This window comes from Homo sapiens, chromosome 8 (assembly GCF_000001405.40).
Source record: "Homo sapiens chromosome 8, GRCh38.p14 Primary Assembly".
Taxonomy (NCBI): domain Eukaryota; kingdom Metazoa; phylum Chordata; class Mammalia; order Primates; family Hominidae; genus Homo; species Homo sapiens.
In genome coordinates this window covers 17,293,570-17,313,202 of record NC_000008.11, presented here as the reverse complement: position 1 = coordinate 17,313,202, position 19,633 = coordinate 17,293,570, and the positions used below count along the sequence as shown (strand labels likewise).

At 37.9% G+C, this 19,633-nt stretch overlaps 2 protein-coding genes across 23 annotated transcripts in view; one reads left to right on the top strand and one right to left on the bottom strand.

Moving 5' to 3' along the window:
- MTMR7 (myotubularin related protein 7) overlaps positions 1-16,409 on the top strand; it is a 116,558-nt gene extending 100,149 nt beyond the window's left edge. For 4 of the 5 annotated variants that reach the window (NM_004686.5, XM_047422407.1, XM_011544693.3 and 1 more), the window contains 6 exons: positions 1,567-1,692; positions 3,877-3,926; positions 7,246-7,446; positions 8,684-8,824; positions 10,923-11,049; positions 12,979-16,409. In NM_004686.5, coding sequence (NP_004677.3) covers positions 1,567-1,692; positions 3,877-3,926; positions 7,246-7,446; positions 8,684-8,824; positions 10,923-11,049; positions 12,979-13,341 — 1,008 coding nt within the window. In that variant the 3' untranslated portion in view covers positions 13,342-16,409. Of the gene's footprint in view, positions 1-1,566; positions 1,693-3,876; positions 3,927-7,245; positions 7,456-8,683; positions 8,825-10,922; positions 11,050-12,978 lie in introns of those variants that run through there. The other variant, XM_047422408.1, reaches the window with a different exon arrangement.
- Positions 1-19,633, bottom strand: part of VPS37A (VPS37A subunit of ESCRT-I) — an 86,498-nt gene that overhangs the window by 20,253 nt on the left and 46,612 nt on the right. For 8 of the 18 annotated variants that reach the window (NM_001363168.1, NM_001363170.1, NM_152415.3 and 5 more), the window contains one exon: positions 15,179-18,216. The exons of 3 other annotated variants lie outside the window; for them this stretch is intronic. The gene's annotated coding sequence lies outside the window, so the exon portion shown is untranslated. Of the gene's footprint in view, positions 1-7,805; positions 11,041-12,713; positions 13,349-13,385; positions 15,137-15,178; positions 18,217-19,633 lie in introns of those variants that run through there. 7 more of the 18 variants (XR_007060695.1, XR_007060696.1, XR_007060697.1 and 4 more) reach the window with 7 other exon arrangements.

The following is a 19,633-nucleotide window of genomic DNA, read 5'->3' as shown; positions in this document are numbered from 1 at the left end:
CTTAAGCTGCACTGCACTGACTGGATAGCCAGCTTTGTAGAGCTCCGTAGTCTGTGCGCTGAAGATATGATTTTGCGAAAGAATACAATGCTTAGCTGATAGTGTGTCAGCACTGTGATCAAATGGTAAAATATTTCCAGAGTATTCTCTTCCATTAGGCTTAATCCTGGATGGAGGAAAGAATTTTCTGTAGAATACAACCAAATGTGAGTTACTTCAGTGATGGGGCTTGGGGCTTACATCCAGTAGAGCCTTCTTTTTAGTCATGGCATAAGCAAAAGTCATGTTCCTGTAGCTGGAAGGTAGAGTCCATTCCGCCATAGGAAAATGTCGCTGCAGCTTTCACATAAGCTGTTTTAGAATGCAATGTCTTTTGTGTTGTTCAGTTTTTTTTAAAGAAATAAATACCTTGGATTTATACCTAAAGAGAACCATATCTTCCCTGATGCCATGGTATGTTCCCTGTTTTGAGGTAATCATTTATTCAAGAAATCTTTATTTAGTGCCAGGTACTATTCTAGATTTTACAGATGTGATGTGAATAAGGCAGATCAAGTCTCTTCCCTCACAGAGCTTATATTCTGCTGGGGGAGACAGAGAATTTTTTTTTTTTTTTTTTTTTTTTTTTGAGAGGGAGTCTCGCTCTGTCACCCAGGCTGGAGTGCAGTGGCACGATCTCAGCTTGCTGCAACCTCTGCCTCCCAGGTTCAAGCGATTCTTCTGTCTCAGCCTCCCAAGTAGCTGGAATTACTGGCACGCGCCACTATGCCTGGCTAATTTTTGTATTTTTAGTAGAGACGGGGTTTCACCATGTTGGTCAGGCTGGTCACGGACTCCTGACCTCAGGTGATCCACCCGCCACGGCCTCCCAAAGTGCTGGGATTACATGCGTGAGCCACTGCCTCCAGCTGAGACAGAGTATTAATAAACTAATAAAACTAGAATTTTAGGTAGTGATAAATGCTATGATGAAATCTCTCCCATGTTTCCCAGCGTATGTTAACTGCCAAGATATTTAGTAAAAAATGATGTGCATTTGCAATAGCAAATAGATATTCTTTTCTTACTGGAGATTTTCTGGTGTCATTTTTACTTTTGTTTTTTCCTTTCCTCAACCTTACATCCATTACTTGACGCTTACCTTTTATTTATAACTTCATAGGTCTGTAATTTATAACTTTTTTGCCTTTTCCTTTTTGGAAATGGCTGGGGCCAGTAGCAACTCCAGAATTTCAGTAAGGCTTAATGTGGAAACTCAGAGGGGAGGGAAGAGGGTTGAAGGTCCGTTTGCATAGGACGAATGCTTATGTTTAGTAAGTACATGCGCTTATTGGAGGTGACTTGAGTGGTGGCTTCTGGATAGAATGGGAAGGGAAAGCTTTAGCTGCCAGCACCAGGCCACTCTGGCTCTGCCCTAATTAGGGGGGGCCCTAAACAGACGAATGGACAGGTGTTTCGTTTTGGCTGTTTCTTTCTGTAAATATACAGTCAAACCTGGCTGTGATGAGAGGTTCTGCCTTTTTACAGCCATTCTTTGTGACTCTTTGCGGATCGTGTGTTTTCTAGGCAGTGTCAGAGGAAGGGGCAAGTGTGCTTGTTCACTGTTCTGATGGCTGGGACAGGACCGCTCAGGTGTGCTCGGTGGCAAGCCTGCTGCTGGACCCTCACTACCGGACTCTGAAGGGCTTCATGGTGAGTGTGGCCACTGGGCGATTCCCACAGGCGGTGCCTTGACCAGGAATGGACCCCTGTTTTTACAACTACTGGCAACTGCTGTTTTCTTGCCAGCATTATTTTTCTTTTAGTAGCTCAGCAAGATTAAAGGGGAAGAGATCAAGATTAATTTAATCAGCAAGATTAAAGGGGAAGGCTTGGAATAAAGAGATGAATTTCTGGGATATTGAAACCATTTCAAGTCAATGCTACTGAATGAGTTTTGGGGCAAATATAAAATATATTTGGTAGTTTGTAAGCCAATTTTATATATCATTTGCTCATAAGTATTTCAAGTTTGAGGTAACATGAATATGTAACAGAAGACTTTTTAGAAAAAATATTTTGGGAAGAAATTTTCTATATTGTGTATGCCAAAAGTCCTTGGTAGGAAAAACTGTTTTCACTTCCAGGGTATGTTTTTTAAGTAGTCCTTCACACCCCTGGATGAGAATGCTGAAAATTTCACAGCCTTTTGTTGTTGTTCTTTGCTGAAATGACGAGTATATCCTGTAGAGTTTGAGCTTTTTAGGTGGGCATCAAATGTAACGTTGCTTTCAACTACAGAGTATTGTATATAGTTGCCTGGGATGGTGAAGTTTTCACTAATCTGGTATAAGTTCCTTAAAATGAATTCACCTCTTAACCATGATTTGGTAGACAGTGCTTCAGTGAATCATGAATCCGTGCTACACAAGATGCTGACAAAGGAGTCCTAATGGAATATCTTTACTGCTGGGTCTCCATTATTGAGTAATATCAGCAACACCCTCGGACAAGAGCGAAGAGGCAGGCTCCCTCTCTGGGATGTTTTTCTTTTTTTGGAAGTGTCTGAGAACTTCCAATTACCTGTGATAGCATTGACACCTCAAAGTGATACCCTTGCTTCAGATCCCTGCTGGACTGAAGTCAGGAGGGCTGGATTGCTTCATTTGCATTTGGAGAGTAAAGAGGTTGCCAGTCACACACTGCCCTTAGGCTCTTCTCCTGCACACATGCGTTTCCATCATCAACTTGTTCTCATTGTGCCCCATTAAACTTACAACCCAAAGAAAATGTCTCGAGTTGTCAAGAACAGACTTCCACTAGTTCATATTTCTTTGTAAGGGGAAATCTCTGGCCACTTTAAAGCATTGGGGATATTGATGAGACTATCCATATTACTTGACTGAACACTTTTTAAAATCCAGGCTGGGTGTGGTAGCTCACACCTGTAATCCCAGCATTTTGGGAGGTTAAGGAGGGAGGCTTGCTGGAGCCCCAGAGTTTGAGACCAGCCTGGGCAACATGGCGAGACCTCGTCTCTATAAAAAATTAAAAAAAAATTAGCCAGGTGTGGTGGAGCCCACCTGTGGTCCCAGCTACTTGGGCTGAGGTGGGAGGATCGCTCGAGCTCAGGAGGTCAAGGGTGTAGTGAGCCATGATCTCATCACTGCACTCCAGCCTACGTGGCTGAGTGAGATCCTGTCTCAAAAATAAATTTTAAAATATAAAACAATATAAAATACAAAACCAAAATAAATACTTAAAAATAATAATCTGGACTGCCTCAGACTTAGAAATTCATGTTAACCCTAATTTCAAAGCAGGGCTGAAGCTTTGAATATACCCCAAACACCATCATTTTAGAATTCTTATAATGTGTAGAAAAGATCACTGAAAAACTTCCCAGTTGTTTTTGTAAAGAGGTTGGTAATTTACATTACACTGAGAGGCAGCATCACACATTGGTTGAGATAGGGTTTGAAGTGGAGAGACCTGGGCTGTGAAGTGGGGTCTCCTTCCTAGTAGCATGATCTTGGGCGAATATGAAACCTCTTTCCTTCGGTTTCCCCTTCTAAAAGAGTGAGAATACCTATCCTACAGTTAGAGATCATACGTAAAGCAATGTGAACAGTGCCTGGCACATAGGAAGCATTCAGCGGGTGGGGTTCCTGCATTTTTATACATCCATTTCCACTCACTGTTCCCATGGATGACCTTCAACTTTGCCTTTGCCATGTGCATCTCTATATGGGTGGATAATGCCTGTTCATGCATTTGCAGGTTACTCGAGGATGGGGACTTCTGCAAGTGCCTCTGAATTCCTCAACATTATTGGTTGTGTGGTCTCTTATTTTTCGTTTGCTTCTCTCCAAGATATTTGTATTCTTTCTTGTGTAGGTATTAATTGAAAAGGACTGGATTTCCTTTGGTCATAAGTTTAATCACCGGTAAGTAATATTTAAGACTGTTTTGAATGTTTAGAATAAAAGCACTGTTTCTGAAAATTTCAATTGAATATTTAGGGGAAAATCGTCTTGTTTTTTGAGTTTGTGTCTCTTATTCAGAAAGCTTAAATTTTGTTGTATATGTCATATCATAGATAAATGAAGTTATAACTGATTCCTTTTGGTAACAGTTGGGCAGAACTAACTAATGTTAACTTGTTCTAGAAGAGACAGAGAATGCTTGTTCATTGTCTTAGTGAGGATCAGCCTTCCCTTCCTCCTGCCATTTGCATGTGACTTACTAAATTATTCCATTTTAGAAGTCCAGAGATTCACTTTAGTCTGCAAGTTGTGAACTGCCCGTGGAACAGTTTCTCTTTGATCTTCTATAGTCCTAAGGCATTTGTATCGGAGTGCAGTTTGTCCCAGATGTCTCTGGAGTGGTGATGAAGGCTTCAGAACCAGACATATCCAACTCCAGATCCAGGCCATGATATTCACTGTCTGGCCTTGGACGTCTGGGCTGTCTGACCTTTGGTCTCTCATCTGTGGAATGGGGATGCCAAAGCTGTTGTTTTGGGAGTCACCAGCCTCCTTTTGTCAGTGTTGATGCCTGTATTGTGTTCTGGTGTTCTCTACTCTTTGAATCTTAAATGGTATAGCTGTACTTAGTTTAGTCTTTGGTGATAAAATTTAAATTTAGGCAGCAAGTTTCATTAGTTTGATATATATTTTCAGAAGTTTTACTGTGTTTTCTTAAAATTCTAAATGCATGCAACTGCTCAAGTATATTTTTGTAGTTTTTTGCTTTTAGCATTAATTGATCACTAATTCTGTGATTTTCAGGAATTCTATTTTTCTAATTTTTTCCAGGAAAGCATAGGAATTCCATTTACCAATGAGAAAATTAAAGCCCCCAATTAGATAAACTTCTTAACATGGCATTATTTTCAGTTTGGGGTTCTATTAATATTACACGCTAGGCAGTTAGGATCTCCAAGATAGGAGACAGATGACAGAAAGAATATGGAAATGACTGAAGATCAGCTAGATAATTGTTTGATAAGGAAAAAATACGTTAATATTAGGCAACCTTTTTTTTTTGATTTGCAGTAAAGTTTATTTTGAAATAATTCTGAAGCCATAAAAGACTAAAATTCCCTTTATGCAAATATAAATCAGTCTCCCATAATGCAATTATTTTTTTCTTCCTCATTTTATTTTTATTTTTTAATTTTATTATTATTATACTTTGTTTTAGGGTACATGTGCACAACGTGCAGGTTTGTTACATATATATACATGTGCCATGTTGGTGTGCTGCACCCATTAACTCGTCATTTAGCATTAGGTATATCTCCTAATGCTATCCCTCCCCCCTCCCGCCACCCCACAACAGTCCCCGGTGTGTGATGTTCCCCTTCCTGTGTCCTTGTGTTCTCATTGTTCAGTTCCCACCTATGAGTGAGAACATGTGGTGTTTGGTTTTTTTGTCCTTGCGATAGTTTGCTGAGAATGATGGTTTCCAGTTTCATCCATGTCCCTACAAAGGAAATGAACTCATCATTTTTTATGGCTGCATAATATTCCATGGTGTATATGTGCCACATTTTCTTAATCCAGGCTATTGTTGTTGGACATATAGGTTGGTTCCAAGTCTTTGCTATTGTGAATAGTGCCGCTATAAACATTCATGTGCATGTGTCTTTATAGCAGCATGATTTATAATCCTTTGGGTATATACCCAGTAATGGGATGGCTGGGTCAAATGGTATTTCTAGTTCTAGATCCCTGAGGAATCGCCACACTGACTTCCACAATGGTTGAACTAGTTTACAGTCCCACCAACAGTGTAAAAGTGTTCCTATTTCTTCACATCCTCTCCAGCACCTGTTGTTTCCTGACTTTTTAATGATCGCCATTCTAACTGGTGTGAGATGGTGTATCATTGTGGTTTTGATTTGCATTTCTCTGATGGCCAGTGATGATGAGCATTTTTTCATGTGTCTTTTGGCTGCATAAATGTCTTCTTTTGAGAAGTGTCTTTTCATATCCTTTGCCCACTTTTTGATGGGGTTGTTTTTTTCTTGTAAATTTGTTTGAGTTCATTTTAGATTCTGGATTTTAGCCCTTTGTCAGATGAGTAGGTTGCAAAAATTTTCTCCCATTTTGTAGGTTGCCTGTTCACTCTGATGGTAGTTTCTTCTGCTGTGCAGAAGCTCTTTAGTTTAATTAGATCCCATCTGTCAATTTTGTCTTTTGCTGCCATTGCTTTTGGTGTTTTAGACATGAAGTCCTTGCCCATGCCTATGTCCTGAATGGTATTGCCTAGGTTTTCTTCTAGGGTTTTTTATAGTTTTAGGTCTAACGTTTAAGTCTTTAATCCATCTTGAATTAATTTTTGTATAAGGTGCAAAGAAGGGATCCAGTTTCAGCTTTCTACATATGGCTAGCCTAGGTAACACTTTTTAAAGCTACCAAAGGTGAGAAACTGTAACATCTGAGAAGTTTCTAGACAATTTCCAATGTTCCCACTCTTGGGAAAACTCTAAAACTGATCATTGCTCATTCCTCTTCCTCAAGGTGATGATCTCTTACTAACACGGGGTTCTATATTGTTATTTTGTCTTTGATGACACCAAAACATCCTTTTGGATTCTCTGTAAAACTCACACAGTAGTGTAAAGGGCTAAGGAGTCTTCATTTTAAAATCAATACAAATTTGAGGAAGACGAGTCTGATGTGCTCTTGAAAAGCAAAGCAATGGGAGATAAAAGAAAAATACATGTGGAATCTGTCGTCACATGGAAATAAATCACGTGATAAGCTTTAACCGCTTTAGGAATGGGAATATTCTTGGCAACTTGGGAAACCACTATTTTTTTTTTTCAAGTTGTCTTTTTCCTCATCCCTTCCCAACAAAACAGCGCAAAAAATGAAGAGCCTTAAAGTTGTCTGGACATTTCTTCTCACCCGCTCATAAAGTGCAACATTTATTTTAAAAGTTCTAATGTACTTTTAAGGAATGAATTTAAAAATGCCCTTTTTCTGTGGAAAGTGTCTTTGAATTTTATTTCTTGCACTAACACTTTCTTTTGTAACTATAACGTGAACGCATCCCTTCTATCCAGACCGTCACTACAAAGTTGCTCTGGAAATTTGAATTTAAAATCTTAACTTTTCTACCTTTTTTGTCATTCCAAGTTTGTAAGATAAGATTTATTTAGGAACTAGGGTTGCTTTTATGGTTGTTTTTGCATTTATGGCTTTGTACTTTAAAAATAAATCTGCCTTAAAAAGTCTCTAATGCTTTGTTTTATAGATATGGCAATCTAGATGGTGACCCAAAAGAAATCTCTCCAGTTATTGACCAGTTCATTGAGTGTGTTTGGCAGTTAATGGAACAATTTCCCTGTGCCTTTGAGTTCAATGAGAGGTTTTTGATTCACATTCAACATCACATTTATTCCTGCCAGTTTGGAAACTTCCTATGTAACAGCCAAAAGGAGAGACGAGAACTCAAGTAAGTGTTTTGGTGTTTTTGGTGTTTAACTTTTATTTAAAGATTTTGATGACTGAGAATTTTAGGTGGCCTTTCATAATTTTGAAGACTTTTTTCATTTAGTCACATACCTATACTGACAGATTAGTTTTATTTTCTTTTTCCTGGTGTCATTTCATAAATGGTTTAAATGTCATCAACTGACAGATAAATAGTTTCATTTTTTCCTTCAGTTTCTGCCTGATAGACAGCTTGACAGACTTGATGCATGAATATCGAAAGGGAATTTTCTGGAGTCAAAAAAGTGGTTTTTGCATTTAAAAGGAAAAGGTTAGATATATTTGGTGGCTATGCTACCATAATAAAAATTGCAAATTTAATTGGGAAAGCAAATATAAAAGCCAGAATTTATTCAGATTAAAACTGTATTGATTTATCCAAGGGTAAAAGTAGATAAATTGTGGACTTTAAAATAAGTGACAGTAAAAAACTTACAACAAAGTGATTTAGGCAGTATACATGAGAGAACATTTTTTAAATTTTCATAAAATGAAATGGTTTTAACTATGGTGTATACAACATTATCAGATTTAATTTGGGGAATGATCAGTTCAAATGAAATGGACTCATAAAGAAAATTAATTTTTGTAGTGGATACTAGTTTGTTTTCTCTAAGGAAGCTCAAGTGTGATTCCATGGAGATGGAGATGATTTAGAAGGAGCAGAGTGTATCCTTTAGGGTCACCTGTTTTCTTGTACCTGACTAGCCAATTCTAACAGTATCTGCTTGGGTCTGAATATGGCTTTTCCACTTACTAGCTATAGGACTTTGGGAAACCACTTATTCTCTCTATTCCTCAGTTTCTTCATCTGTAAATTAGACAGAGCTCACAGCAACTCAGTGAGGATTAAATGAGAGAAAACGTGGAACATTTAGAATAGTGTGTGACAAATTATAAATGTCCAATGACTATTTGGGGGAAAAAACTCCCCCCAAAAGAACAGCTTAACACACACACACACACACACACGAATCGAACACCTTGTCAAGGCCAGTACAGATGGTGGTGAAGTTGAGATTATTACAGTGTTCTCCCTCTATACCATGAAGTCACCAAGATGATACATTTACCTGCTATCGAACAGACACGTGGTTTTCAGGTAACAATTATTAGTTCCTTTCCAGCATTAATATAACATATCTACTGTGTGTAAGCACCAAAATAGGTCATTTATAGACTTATTTTCTTTATAACAGGATTCAAGAAAGAACATACTCATTATGGGCTCACCTGTGGAAGAATCGGGCCGACTACCTGAATCCTCTGTTTAGAGCTGATCACAGCCAGACTCAGGGAACCCTTCATCTCCCTACAACACCATGTAACTTCATGTACAAGTATGTAAATCCTTGGTAACTTTGTAGCCATGGTATGAACTTGGATTCTGGTACCGTTTAACATTCAGAGGTCAAAGTGTATGACACTGATCTTTGAGGCTTTTATTGGACACAAAAGACACCAGAGGGAGATGCTTGAATATCTGATCTGGTATTTTTGCCAGTGACTCCTCTGCCTCTTTATTCCTCCTAAATGTGGAATTTTCTTCAGGAGGTGATGTTTTATAATAATGATATCATAAAAAGGTTAAGTTCCAATTTATTTTTTTAAAAGCAAATGAAAGAGAATAATGCAAATGCCTTAAGTCAAATGTGGAATCACAAGTTTCAACAGTGATCATGACGTGTTAAGGTTGGAGCAAAAATAATTGTGGTTTTTGCCGTTATACAACAAAAAGGCAAAAACCGCAATTACTTTTGCACCAACGTAATAGGTTGCCTTTTTGTCTCCACTGAATTAAGTCCTACTGGAAGTACTTCCCTTGTGGAAATTACATTAAGATTGTATGTATTAGCCGAGGCGGGTGGATCACCCTAGGTCAGGAGTTCAAGACAAGCCTGGCCAACATGGGGAGACCCAGTCTCTACTGAAAATACAAAAATTAGCTGGGCATGGTGGTGAGCGCCTGTAATCCTAGCTACTCGGGAGGCTGAGACAGGAGAATCACTTGAACCAGGGAGGAGGAGGTTGCGGTGAGCCGAGATCGTGCCATTGCACTCCAGCCTGGGCAACAAGAGCAAAACTCCATCTCAAAAAAAAAAAAAAAAGATTGTATGTATGGGGAGAATGGGGAGAGCAGGGTGGCATCCTACAAGTTCTACTAGGTATGTGCTAGATACGTATGTTTTTTCCTTTGGCTTCCTTGTTAGGCTTGTATAATATGAAAAAACTCAAAGGTCAGCAACATCAAAAGACTCATGCAGAATAAACAGAAACCCCATCTCTTTCTTCCTACTCACTCCCGACACAGACTTGATGGCTTTTCTCCCTGTATAGATTTCGTTTCTCAAGGTTTTTTTTCTTAATTATTTCAATCTAATTATCTTCTCAGAATTTATAGCAGAATATTCTATCATACTAAACAAAAGCCTCCATAGTGCATGTAAGACAAGTTTTAAGAGCTGTTGAGATATGACCAGTTGGATTGCAACTAATTTATTATTAACAGCTAGTCAACACATATTTTATTGAGGATCAAACACTGTTCTGGGCACTGCAGATAAAACAATGACACCAAGTCCTTGCCCTCAAAGTACTTACTTATCTACATAAATAAAATAGTGGTTCTAAGGGTAACTCTGTGATAACACCATTTTTCTCATTTGCACTCCAGTTGCTTTTTTGTGTAGGATAAAAAGGGATTTATTGGTCAGGCGTGGTGGCTCCCGCCTATAATCCCAGCACTTTGGGAGGCTGAGGTGGGTGGATCACCTGAGGTCAGGAGTTCATGACCAACCTGACCAACATGGTGAAACCCTGTCTCTACTAAAAAAAATATAAAATTAGGCATGGTGGTGCATGCCTGTAATCCCAGGTACTTGGGAGGCTGAGGCAGGAGAATCGCTTGAACCCGGGAGGTGGAGGTTGCAAGGAGCCGATATCACACCACTGCACTTCGGTTTGGGTGACAAGAGCGAAACTCTGCCATTAAAAAAAAAAGCGGGGGGGGGGGGGTTATTGCCAATGCAAATGTCAACTTTTAGTGGTCGTGATACAAAAGATAAAAGCTGCAAGTTTAAGATTCCCTTTGTAGCTGAAAGATTCTAAATATACAATTTCAAAGTTCAAAACTAAGAGCCATTTTCTTAAAAGGTAATGGTTACATGTACTATTTTAATTTTAGAAAAATGTATTCTGTGCTAATTCATATATACAGGCAGACTTTTCATAAACTTATTCTCCCCAAAAGGCATTTACTGACCCAAGAAAAAAAACATCAACATGAAATTATTACCTTAAGTAGTGGCTTTTTTGAGGCTGAAATTTGCATTTGGTTATTATTAAGACTGTGGTATCATAGATACCTTAGAAGACTTGAGGATGTGAATTTTCAGACTGTGATAAGGTGGTATCACGACGCTTTGCCATCCTTTCCAGGTTTTGGAGTGGAATGTATAACCGCTTTGAAAAGGGGATGCAGCCCCGACAGTCAGTTACAGATTACCTAATGGCAGTGAAGGAAGAAACTCAGCAGCTAGAGGAAGAACTAGAGGCCCTGGAAGAAGTAAGACATACTTGCTTTGTTAATCTATTTTCTGTGCTTATTTCTTGAAGAGCAAGGCTTCATGAAAGCCTCTTAAGATTCAGTGCAATACAAATATTTCACATTTTTAGTCAGTAGAACACCTGAAACACAACCCCATCCAGGTCAGGACTCAGATAACCGAAGCCCAAACCTAGGCATTTAATGCATTTCACACATCTGGTTTGTGGCTCAGTTCCACAAATTTTTGGTTGTTCCTTATTTTAGGTCAACTTGTTTGGTTACTGTTATTTGAGAGTAGTAAAATTAATTTTTTTCTGGAAAGTGTGAAAAAGTAACAGAATAAAATCAAATATATGTACTTGTAAAACTCTTTCCCCACTTTTAGAAATTATGTTAACTATGATATTAATCTATAATTGGTAAAGGGGAGACTGACTGTAAAGTCTTATCTTTTGGCTTCTATGAACTTCCCTGTACTTGGACAGGGAGGTTATAATAAAATGCTTTTCCTAATTGGATAACTTTGTTTCCAATGGTACTAATGTAGTTTATGAACATCTTAGGATTCTATTAGTCTATTCTAGCAGTCTGGCTCTTTAAAACTGGCTCTTCCTTATTACAAAGTCAAAATTCCTTAGGCTGGCATTTGAGATTTTCTCTTTTCAGCTTTATTTTCCATGCTAATATTTAATGGTTTTTGCTGCTTGTATACAATTTAGACCTTCCTACCTTTGTGTTTGTCCTCTCACTGTCCCTACTCCTGTCAGGAATGCTTACTAGCTATCACCAGAATGTCCAAGTTTAAATCTTTCACAGTCCTGTTAAAATGTTCCTTCCTCCCTGAAACTTACTCTGTTCTTTTCCTTCTAACCTTACCACTTCATCCCTCTTCAAGAACTTTTGCCTTTTTGAAATTCTTACATTGCATGAACTCTGCCTCTCTCTGCTCCACTACTCCATGTTCCTTAAGGCTGGGTCTGTATTTATCTATCTCTTTTCCTCACACTGCCCAGCACAGTGCTTTTGCACATAACCTAAGTGAATGGTTTTGAATGAATACATAATACTTGATCTTATAACACCTCCTGTGTTAACATCAAAACATGAAATCTGGCGAAATGTATTCTGAACAACCCAGGTGTCCATAACATGATGAATGGGGAAACAAAATCTGGTATATCCATGTAATGGAATACTGTTCAGCCAGAAAAAGGAATGAAGTACTTGATACATGCTGTACCATGAATGAATTCTGAGAACATAAGCTAAGTGAAGGAAGCCAGATACAAAAATCCACATGTTGTATGATTCCATTCAATTTATATAAAACATCTAGACTAGGCAAATCCATAGAGATAGAAGTTGATCAGTAGTAGCCAGGGGCTGTGGGGAGATAGGAATGGGAAATGACTGCTAATGAGTATGGGGTTTTCTTTCGGCAGGGGAGGTGATGACAGTGTTTTATAATTAGTAGTGATCGTTGCACAACCTTGTGAATATAACTAAAAACCACTGAATTGTATACTTTAAAAGGGTGAGTTTCACGGTAAGTGAATTGTATCTCAGTATAAAAGTTAGATGATAAACACTTCATTCATGATTTCTAAAAAATGTTTTTTGAGTTCATGGGATGAGACTCATCATTTGAAACCATGTAGGTATAGAAAAGAGGGAGACTAGGGTTCACTGGGTGCTTCAACTGTGCTATATTGTTTATTATTATAGAAAACCTATGTCAAGGCAGGTATTATCCTTACATTAGAGATAAAGCAGGCCTCACAGATTTTGTCCAAGGTCGTGAAGTCCAGGTTTGAACTCACATCCCTCTGAGTCACATGTTCTTAACATTATACCCACGTGGGAGGTAACAAATGCTAAAGACATGCATATATAGAAAAAGATAAGTTATTTATGATTTTTCCCCTGAAATTGTTATTTCTTTCTTAGAGGCTGGAAAAAATTCAAAAGGTCCAGTTAAATTGCACTAAGGTGAAGAGTAAGCAAAGTGAGCCCAGCAAGCACTCAGGGTTTTCTACCTCAGACAACAGCATAGCCAACACTCCCCAGGATTACAGTGGGAATATGAAATCATTTCCATCCCGGAGCCCTTCACAAGGCGATGAAGATTCTGCTCTGATTCTAACCCAAGACAATCTGAAAAGTTCAGATCCAGATCTGTCAGCCAACAGTGACCAAGAGTCCGGGGTGGAGGATTTGAGCTGTCGGTCTCCAAGTGGTGGTGAGCATGCACCGAGTGAAGATAGTGGCAAGGACCGGGATTCTGATGAAGCCGTGTTTCTCACTGCCTGAAGTTTCCCTTTGGAGTTCCAAAGTAAAGGACACATAAGCAACACTTCCAAAAACAAGGGAACAAGGTGGTTTATTGTAAAAACAGGAAATGGTGCATGTCATTGAGAACTACTTTAATGCAGCTATGAAAAGGGAAAAAAGTGCCCAGTTCTTGATTTCTTAGATACTGAAGAGGACGTAGTCATTTCATTTATCAAATATAAGGAAAATTATTCACCATTTTGAAGCTCACCCTAGACTATGAAAATTATATTCACTGCAGAGCAATTACTTCTGTCATTACCTGAAGTGATCAGTATCTATCTTCCTTGTCATAGCATGCATCTCTCAAAAAGCCTCCACTCCTTTCCCTCACATCTGTGATCATCATGATTCTTTTAGTTCACTTCTAGATGCATATTTTGTGTTTTCTAAAGCATCTGACATTATCCTCCTTTCCGACCCTCTTATACATATTTCTAAAAACAGGCACATTGGTGAGATGCACCCTTTTTAGTTAATAGATGCATTCCTAAGGAGCTTTTAATTGCTTATCTTTCAGGCATAATCATCACTTTAACTTTTCCTTGGAGCATATATTTTGAATTGTGAGAATAATTTTGTTGCTTTTCTCTGAGATCTATAGTCTGTTTCTCCTCATTATTTAAAAATGCTAAACCTTGTATCTCACTTTTTCTCTAACACTGATTTAATAGCTAACGAGGTAGAAGCAACATTCATTCTCCTGGTCTTACATATGAATTTAAGTATCAGCTTTCTTGTAATAACCTTTTATTACTGTTCTAGAGACTACACTACCGACAGTGTGGGCCAGCCACCAGCCTGATCTCAAAGTATCACATTATAAAGTTAGTAGATAAAACATCTGTGAGTGAAAATCCAGTTTCAAGAACCAGAGAATTGGGTTGTCATGTCTGTTTAATGAAGGGAATAGGTTTTGTAATCTATCATTTTAGAAATTATGTAACTGGCTAATATGGTTTAATTAACCTTAGTAACATCTCATGACCACTGACTGCTGAAAGTTCTGAAAAGAATTTTTGTTTTGTTACACTGCACATTTAAGGGAGAGTCCCTCCCCTATCTTATGAGTTAAAAAAGACTTCACTAGGTGACCTAAATTAAACTTAGTGGGGAAAAGTGGCCATGTTTGGACATAAATAAATGGTATTCACACTGTATGGTTTTAATATATTAGTACATTCTAGAATGTAAAAGGATTAAACTTTACAATTTAGATCAATATTTTGAATATGTGAAAGGATTAATTTAAACTTTACAATTTACATCAATATTTTGAATATCTGATTTTTTTTAATGGGAGAATTATTACATTTCGCTGAAATGAGGACGAGGGCAAGAAAGCAACATTGCTGATCTCTCTAGTATGAAAGATTTGGAGGGAGTGTTGCAATATATATAAATGAAAACATTTAATTGTGTTCATCATATTTAAAAATATAGAATATATTAGAGAACTGTGATTTAAAAGTACTGTTAATGTAAAAAATAAAGCAAGTGTAATTAATTCTTTCAGAATATAAAATTTGGGCATTCTCTGCTGAGCAGTTCCCAAATTAAGTACAAGGAATGTTTATTCATTTTCTGCAATATACTATATGTAATAGGGAATACCTTGCTAAAATAAAACTTAGGATATAGTGGTAATGGCTTTCACATTTTTATAACATAACATAACTCACTTCACAACCTTCTTGGAGCTGTCCACTCTTAGAAACTCTGTTGCCTAATATTGAGGATGTGGCTTTAATTTCTTCCGTTTGACAGTGTATGTCTATAAAAACAATAAACATTTTTTAAAAAATGACAAAGTATCTATGCCAAACAGCACTATGCTTTTATTTGAAAAGCAAATAGTATAAATATTTGATGTTTTAAAATGTAGTTTTTTAATATGACAACTTCCATATCAGAGTCATAAACTTTTAGTCCCCTCAACTTTTTTACAAGACAGACATTATAATTTATGTAACATGTTCGTCTGCTTATTAGAAGTTAACCTAGCACTGAGATTTATATAAAAGGTTACATTTATTGCTTATTAAAACTTTACTGTACTTTCACAGATTCTTCAGAGCATGGCTAACCCAACAAGACTAAAATATCCCCAACAAGACTAAAATATCTAATAATCAAACATTAATCAGGAAGTGTTTTATTGAGAGCAGTGGTTTAAAGCATAGGGAATAATCCAGTATAAAACTGATTTGAGGCATATTACTTCCCAATTAGTAATATATAGAATGCAAGTAATTTATTTTTTAAAGTTGATATGAAATAAATAGGTAAGAATTTTGACCATGACCCAGCAAATCAGTAACTGAGCTTTTTATAGAATGGAAGGTGATGATCAGAGACAGAAACCATAGAATAAATTTTTATTCTTTAAGAGCACATTAGTTTACTTTCTTCTCCTAAAAATGAATCTGAGCTGTCCTTCAATTTAAGCATATATATGTGTCAAGCACCCTCTATTCTGATATAAATTTCCTAGTCTCAATTTATGCCTAGAAATTTCTTTCAACTTTGAAGTGGGTCTGTTTAGTTTATATCTCACTGATTGATTGATTTAGAATTTTCTTCTATTTTAAGATATTAACCTTTAAATCTCTACCTATGACAAATTCGTACACTGATTAGCCTAGTAACTCCTAAGTATTCCTCTTTAATTCTGATTTCTATCTCATCTTGTAAAATCAGAATACAAACTTTCACATGCATTTCATTTTTCCTGTGGCACTGCTTCTCCGATGTGACCAATTTTTATGAAGAAAATATATAGCCATAAAATTAGAAAAAATGGTCACTTAATCTCTGTTGCAAAAACAGAACCCACATTCATACGGGCATATTCAAATGCAGATTCTTTTCATCGTGGGTGACATACATAACCTTTATGTAAACTGATTTGTCTATTTGTTAAATGCAGATAACTGATCACACTGCTCTGTTTCATGACTGGGTTGTAACAAGGTTATCCAATGAATGGTATAGAATGAAACTGGGATAGTTCAACTTTAAAGAATAAAAAACACTGAGATGAACTACTCATGTGATTATGTAGAACATTTTTACTCTGTAAGAAAATGTTTCTTTTTTTTCTGTTTTTCTGGTGAAAAGGAAAGTAGATAAGCATCTAAACAATGTTTATCTTTGTATAGTATTTCCACAATGCCTTATTCCTAGTAGGTACTTAATAACATAGATAGATCAAATGAATTAATCAAATGAGGGGCTGTGGTATGCTCCTCCCTTGTTATGGGATACACCTACCTGGTTTCTAGGAACCTGATGGTTGGCAAAAGATTGAGACTGTTCTATCTCCCATTGCTGTAACTGCTGGGAAAATTAAGCTCTGGTGGCCAGTGCAGTATAAGGAAAGGTTTCTGAATACCCAAAAGACTATCATAAATTTGAAACACTCTTACCTCAGTTATCTACAAATCAGGAGTAATAATTAATTATTCCTTCCTCATCTGGTCACTTTGAAGCTTTAACAGCATGTCCTTAGCACAGTGTCAGGAAGACAATGAAAGTTATTTTCTGTATCCAACATTGTATCTCAGTCCACGTGAATACCTGCCCTCCACAAACAGACTAAATATTAAGCATGTTTTAATTCTAACAAAATAATTTTGTTCTTCCTATAACTTTATTGCCAAAAACATGTACAGGAAGAACTAAAAAATATAAAAAAGACAGACAATCTATACTATATGCTGGTGTTGGGAAGACAATCATACTGGGATGAAATTTAAGCAAAATTATGCATTAGTTTGTTTTGTAATTTAGATGGCACCTTACCAAGCCTGAGCTACATAGTTCACGGCATTTTCCTTTATGAGCTTTTAGGGCTTCTCAAGAAATACATGAATTTTGTGACACGGTATAGAAGCAAACTGCTCAATGTAGTATACAAGAACACTCAATTAAATTCATTAAAAATCAGGATTGCCTAAAAATTAAATTTTACTTATTACTATAGCTTTCCTCTTAGGAAAAGGTAACTCACAGTAAAGGTCAGAAAAGTTCACTGACTTTTTTTGTGTATAGATTTAGTGTATATTAACATAAAGATTGTTTTTAACATTAGGAATTTAGAAAACCTATCCAACCACAAACCTACCAGATATATATATGTTTTAAATTAGCATAAGAATTTCTGTTGGAATGGTTTAAATGAAAGGCAACTTTTTTTTTTCCTATTAGGTAAAATATTTACTTGTATTGCTTCTTAAATGCATCTTTAGTTTTAAAAATGAAACAATATATAAGAACAGCTGGTTTATTCTTTTGATTTATTGTAGGTATTAAAAGTTTCTTTTGTGAGATGGCACATAGGCAGGTTTGGTGTTTCCTAACACTATGAATATCTTAAATTGCTTTTGAAAGTTTTATCCACAAAGAAAGAAAAATAAGGGTTTCCTCACAGTTGAAAATAGTTTTTGAAAAAAGGTTAAGAGGAAAAAAATCTAAATACCATCCTTGATAAAGAAATGGAACTTCAAGTTAAAAATACAAATTTAAATGAAGTTTTATAAAATATTAAAAACTAGCTAAAAGTACATGCATAGGCATTTAATCAAGGTAAGAGGAACAGCAGTGGAACTTAAATATGATACAATTTATCAACAATAAATAAACATTTCAGTGCAAATAGTGCAGAAAAATTTCTCAAAGATCATAGCAATCATTCTAATCGGTACAAAATCAGTCTCAGTTCTGTATACAATCTATATAGGATATCTGTGAATTTAGCCACTGATGAAATGCCAGTTTGCAAACCATAAATATAAAACAGTGTTTGGTTTTGTGTCCCATTCCTCTCTTGGCAGTTCATGTTTCCAGGAAAATCTAGAAAGAAAACAATAAAAAATACCTCTAATATTTAAGAAGATGAATATGTATCTCTTTACATTATCTTCCAATTAAGATTTGCCCACAGTGGCTCCCAGGCAAGATGGCTGAATAGGAACAGCTCCAGTCTGCAGCTCCCAGGGAGACCAACAGAGAAGGCAGGTGATTTCTGCATTTCCAGCTGAGATACCTGGTTCATCTCACTGGGACTGGTTAGACAGTGGGTGTAGCCCACGGAGGGTGAGCAGAAGCAGGGTGGGGTGTTGCCTCACCCGGTAAGTGCAAGGGGTTAGGGAACTACCTCCCCTAGCCAAGGGAAGCCTTGAGGGACTGTGCTACCCAGCCCAGAAACTACGCTTTTTCCACGGTCTTCGCAACCCACAGACCAGGAGATTCCCTCAGGTGCCTACACCACCAGGGGCCCGGGTTTCAACCACAAAACTAGGTGGCCGTTTGGCCAGACATCGAGCTAGCTGCAGGAATTTTTTTTCGTACTGCCTGGAATGCCAGCGAGACAGAACCCTTCACTCTCCTGGAAAGGGGGCTGATGCCAGGGAGCCAAATGGTCTTGCTCAGCGGATCCCACCCCTATGGAGTCTAGCAAGCTAAGATCCACTGGCTTGAAATTTTCACCGCCAGCATAGCAGTCTGAGGTCGACCTGGGATGCTGGAGCTTGGTGGGGGGAGGGGCGTCCACCATTAATGAGGTTTGAGTAGTCTGTTTTCCCCTCACAGTGTAAACAAAGCCTCCGGGAAGTTTGGACTGGGCAAAGCCCACCTCAGCTCCACAAAGCCACTGTAGCCAGACTGCCTCTCTAGATTCCTCCTCTCTGGGCAGGGCATCTCTGAAAGAAAGGCAGAGGCCCCAGTCAGGGGCTTATAGATAAAACTCCCATCTCCCTGCAACAGAGCACCTGGGGGAAGGGGTGGCTGTGGGCGCAGCTTGCACACACTTAAACGTTCCTGCCTGCCGGCTCTGAAGAGAGCAGCGGATCACCCAGCACCATGCTCTAGCTCTGCTAAGAGACAGACTGCCTCCTCAAGTGGTTCTCTGACCACCGTGCCTCCTGACAGGCAGACACCTCCCAGCAGGGGTTGACAGACAGCTCATACAGGAGAGCTCTGGCTGGCACTTTGCAGGTGCCCCTCTGGGACAAAGCTTCCAGAGGAAGGAGCAGGCAGCAATCTTTGCTGTTCTGCAGCCTCCGCTGGTGATACCCAGGCAAACAGGATGTGGAGTAGACCCCCAGCAAACTCCAGCAGACCTGCAGAAGAGGGGCTTGTTAGAAAGACAACTAACAGAAAGCAATAGCATCAACATCAACAAAAATGACGACCATGCAAAAATTCCATCCGAAGGTCACCAACAACAAAGAACAAAGGTAGATAAATCCATGAAGATGAGGAAAAACCA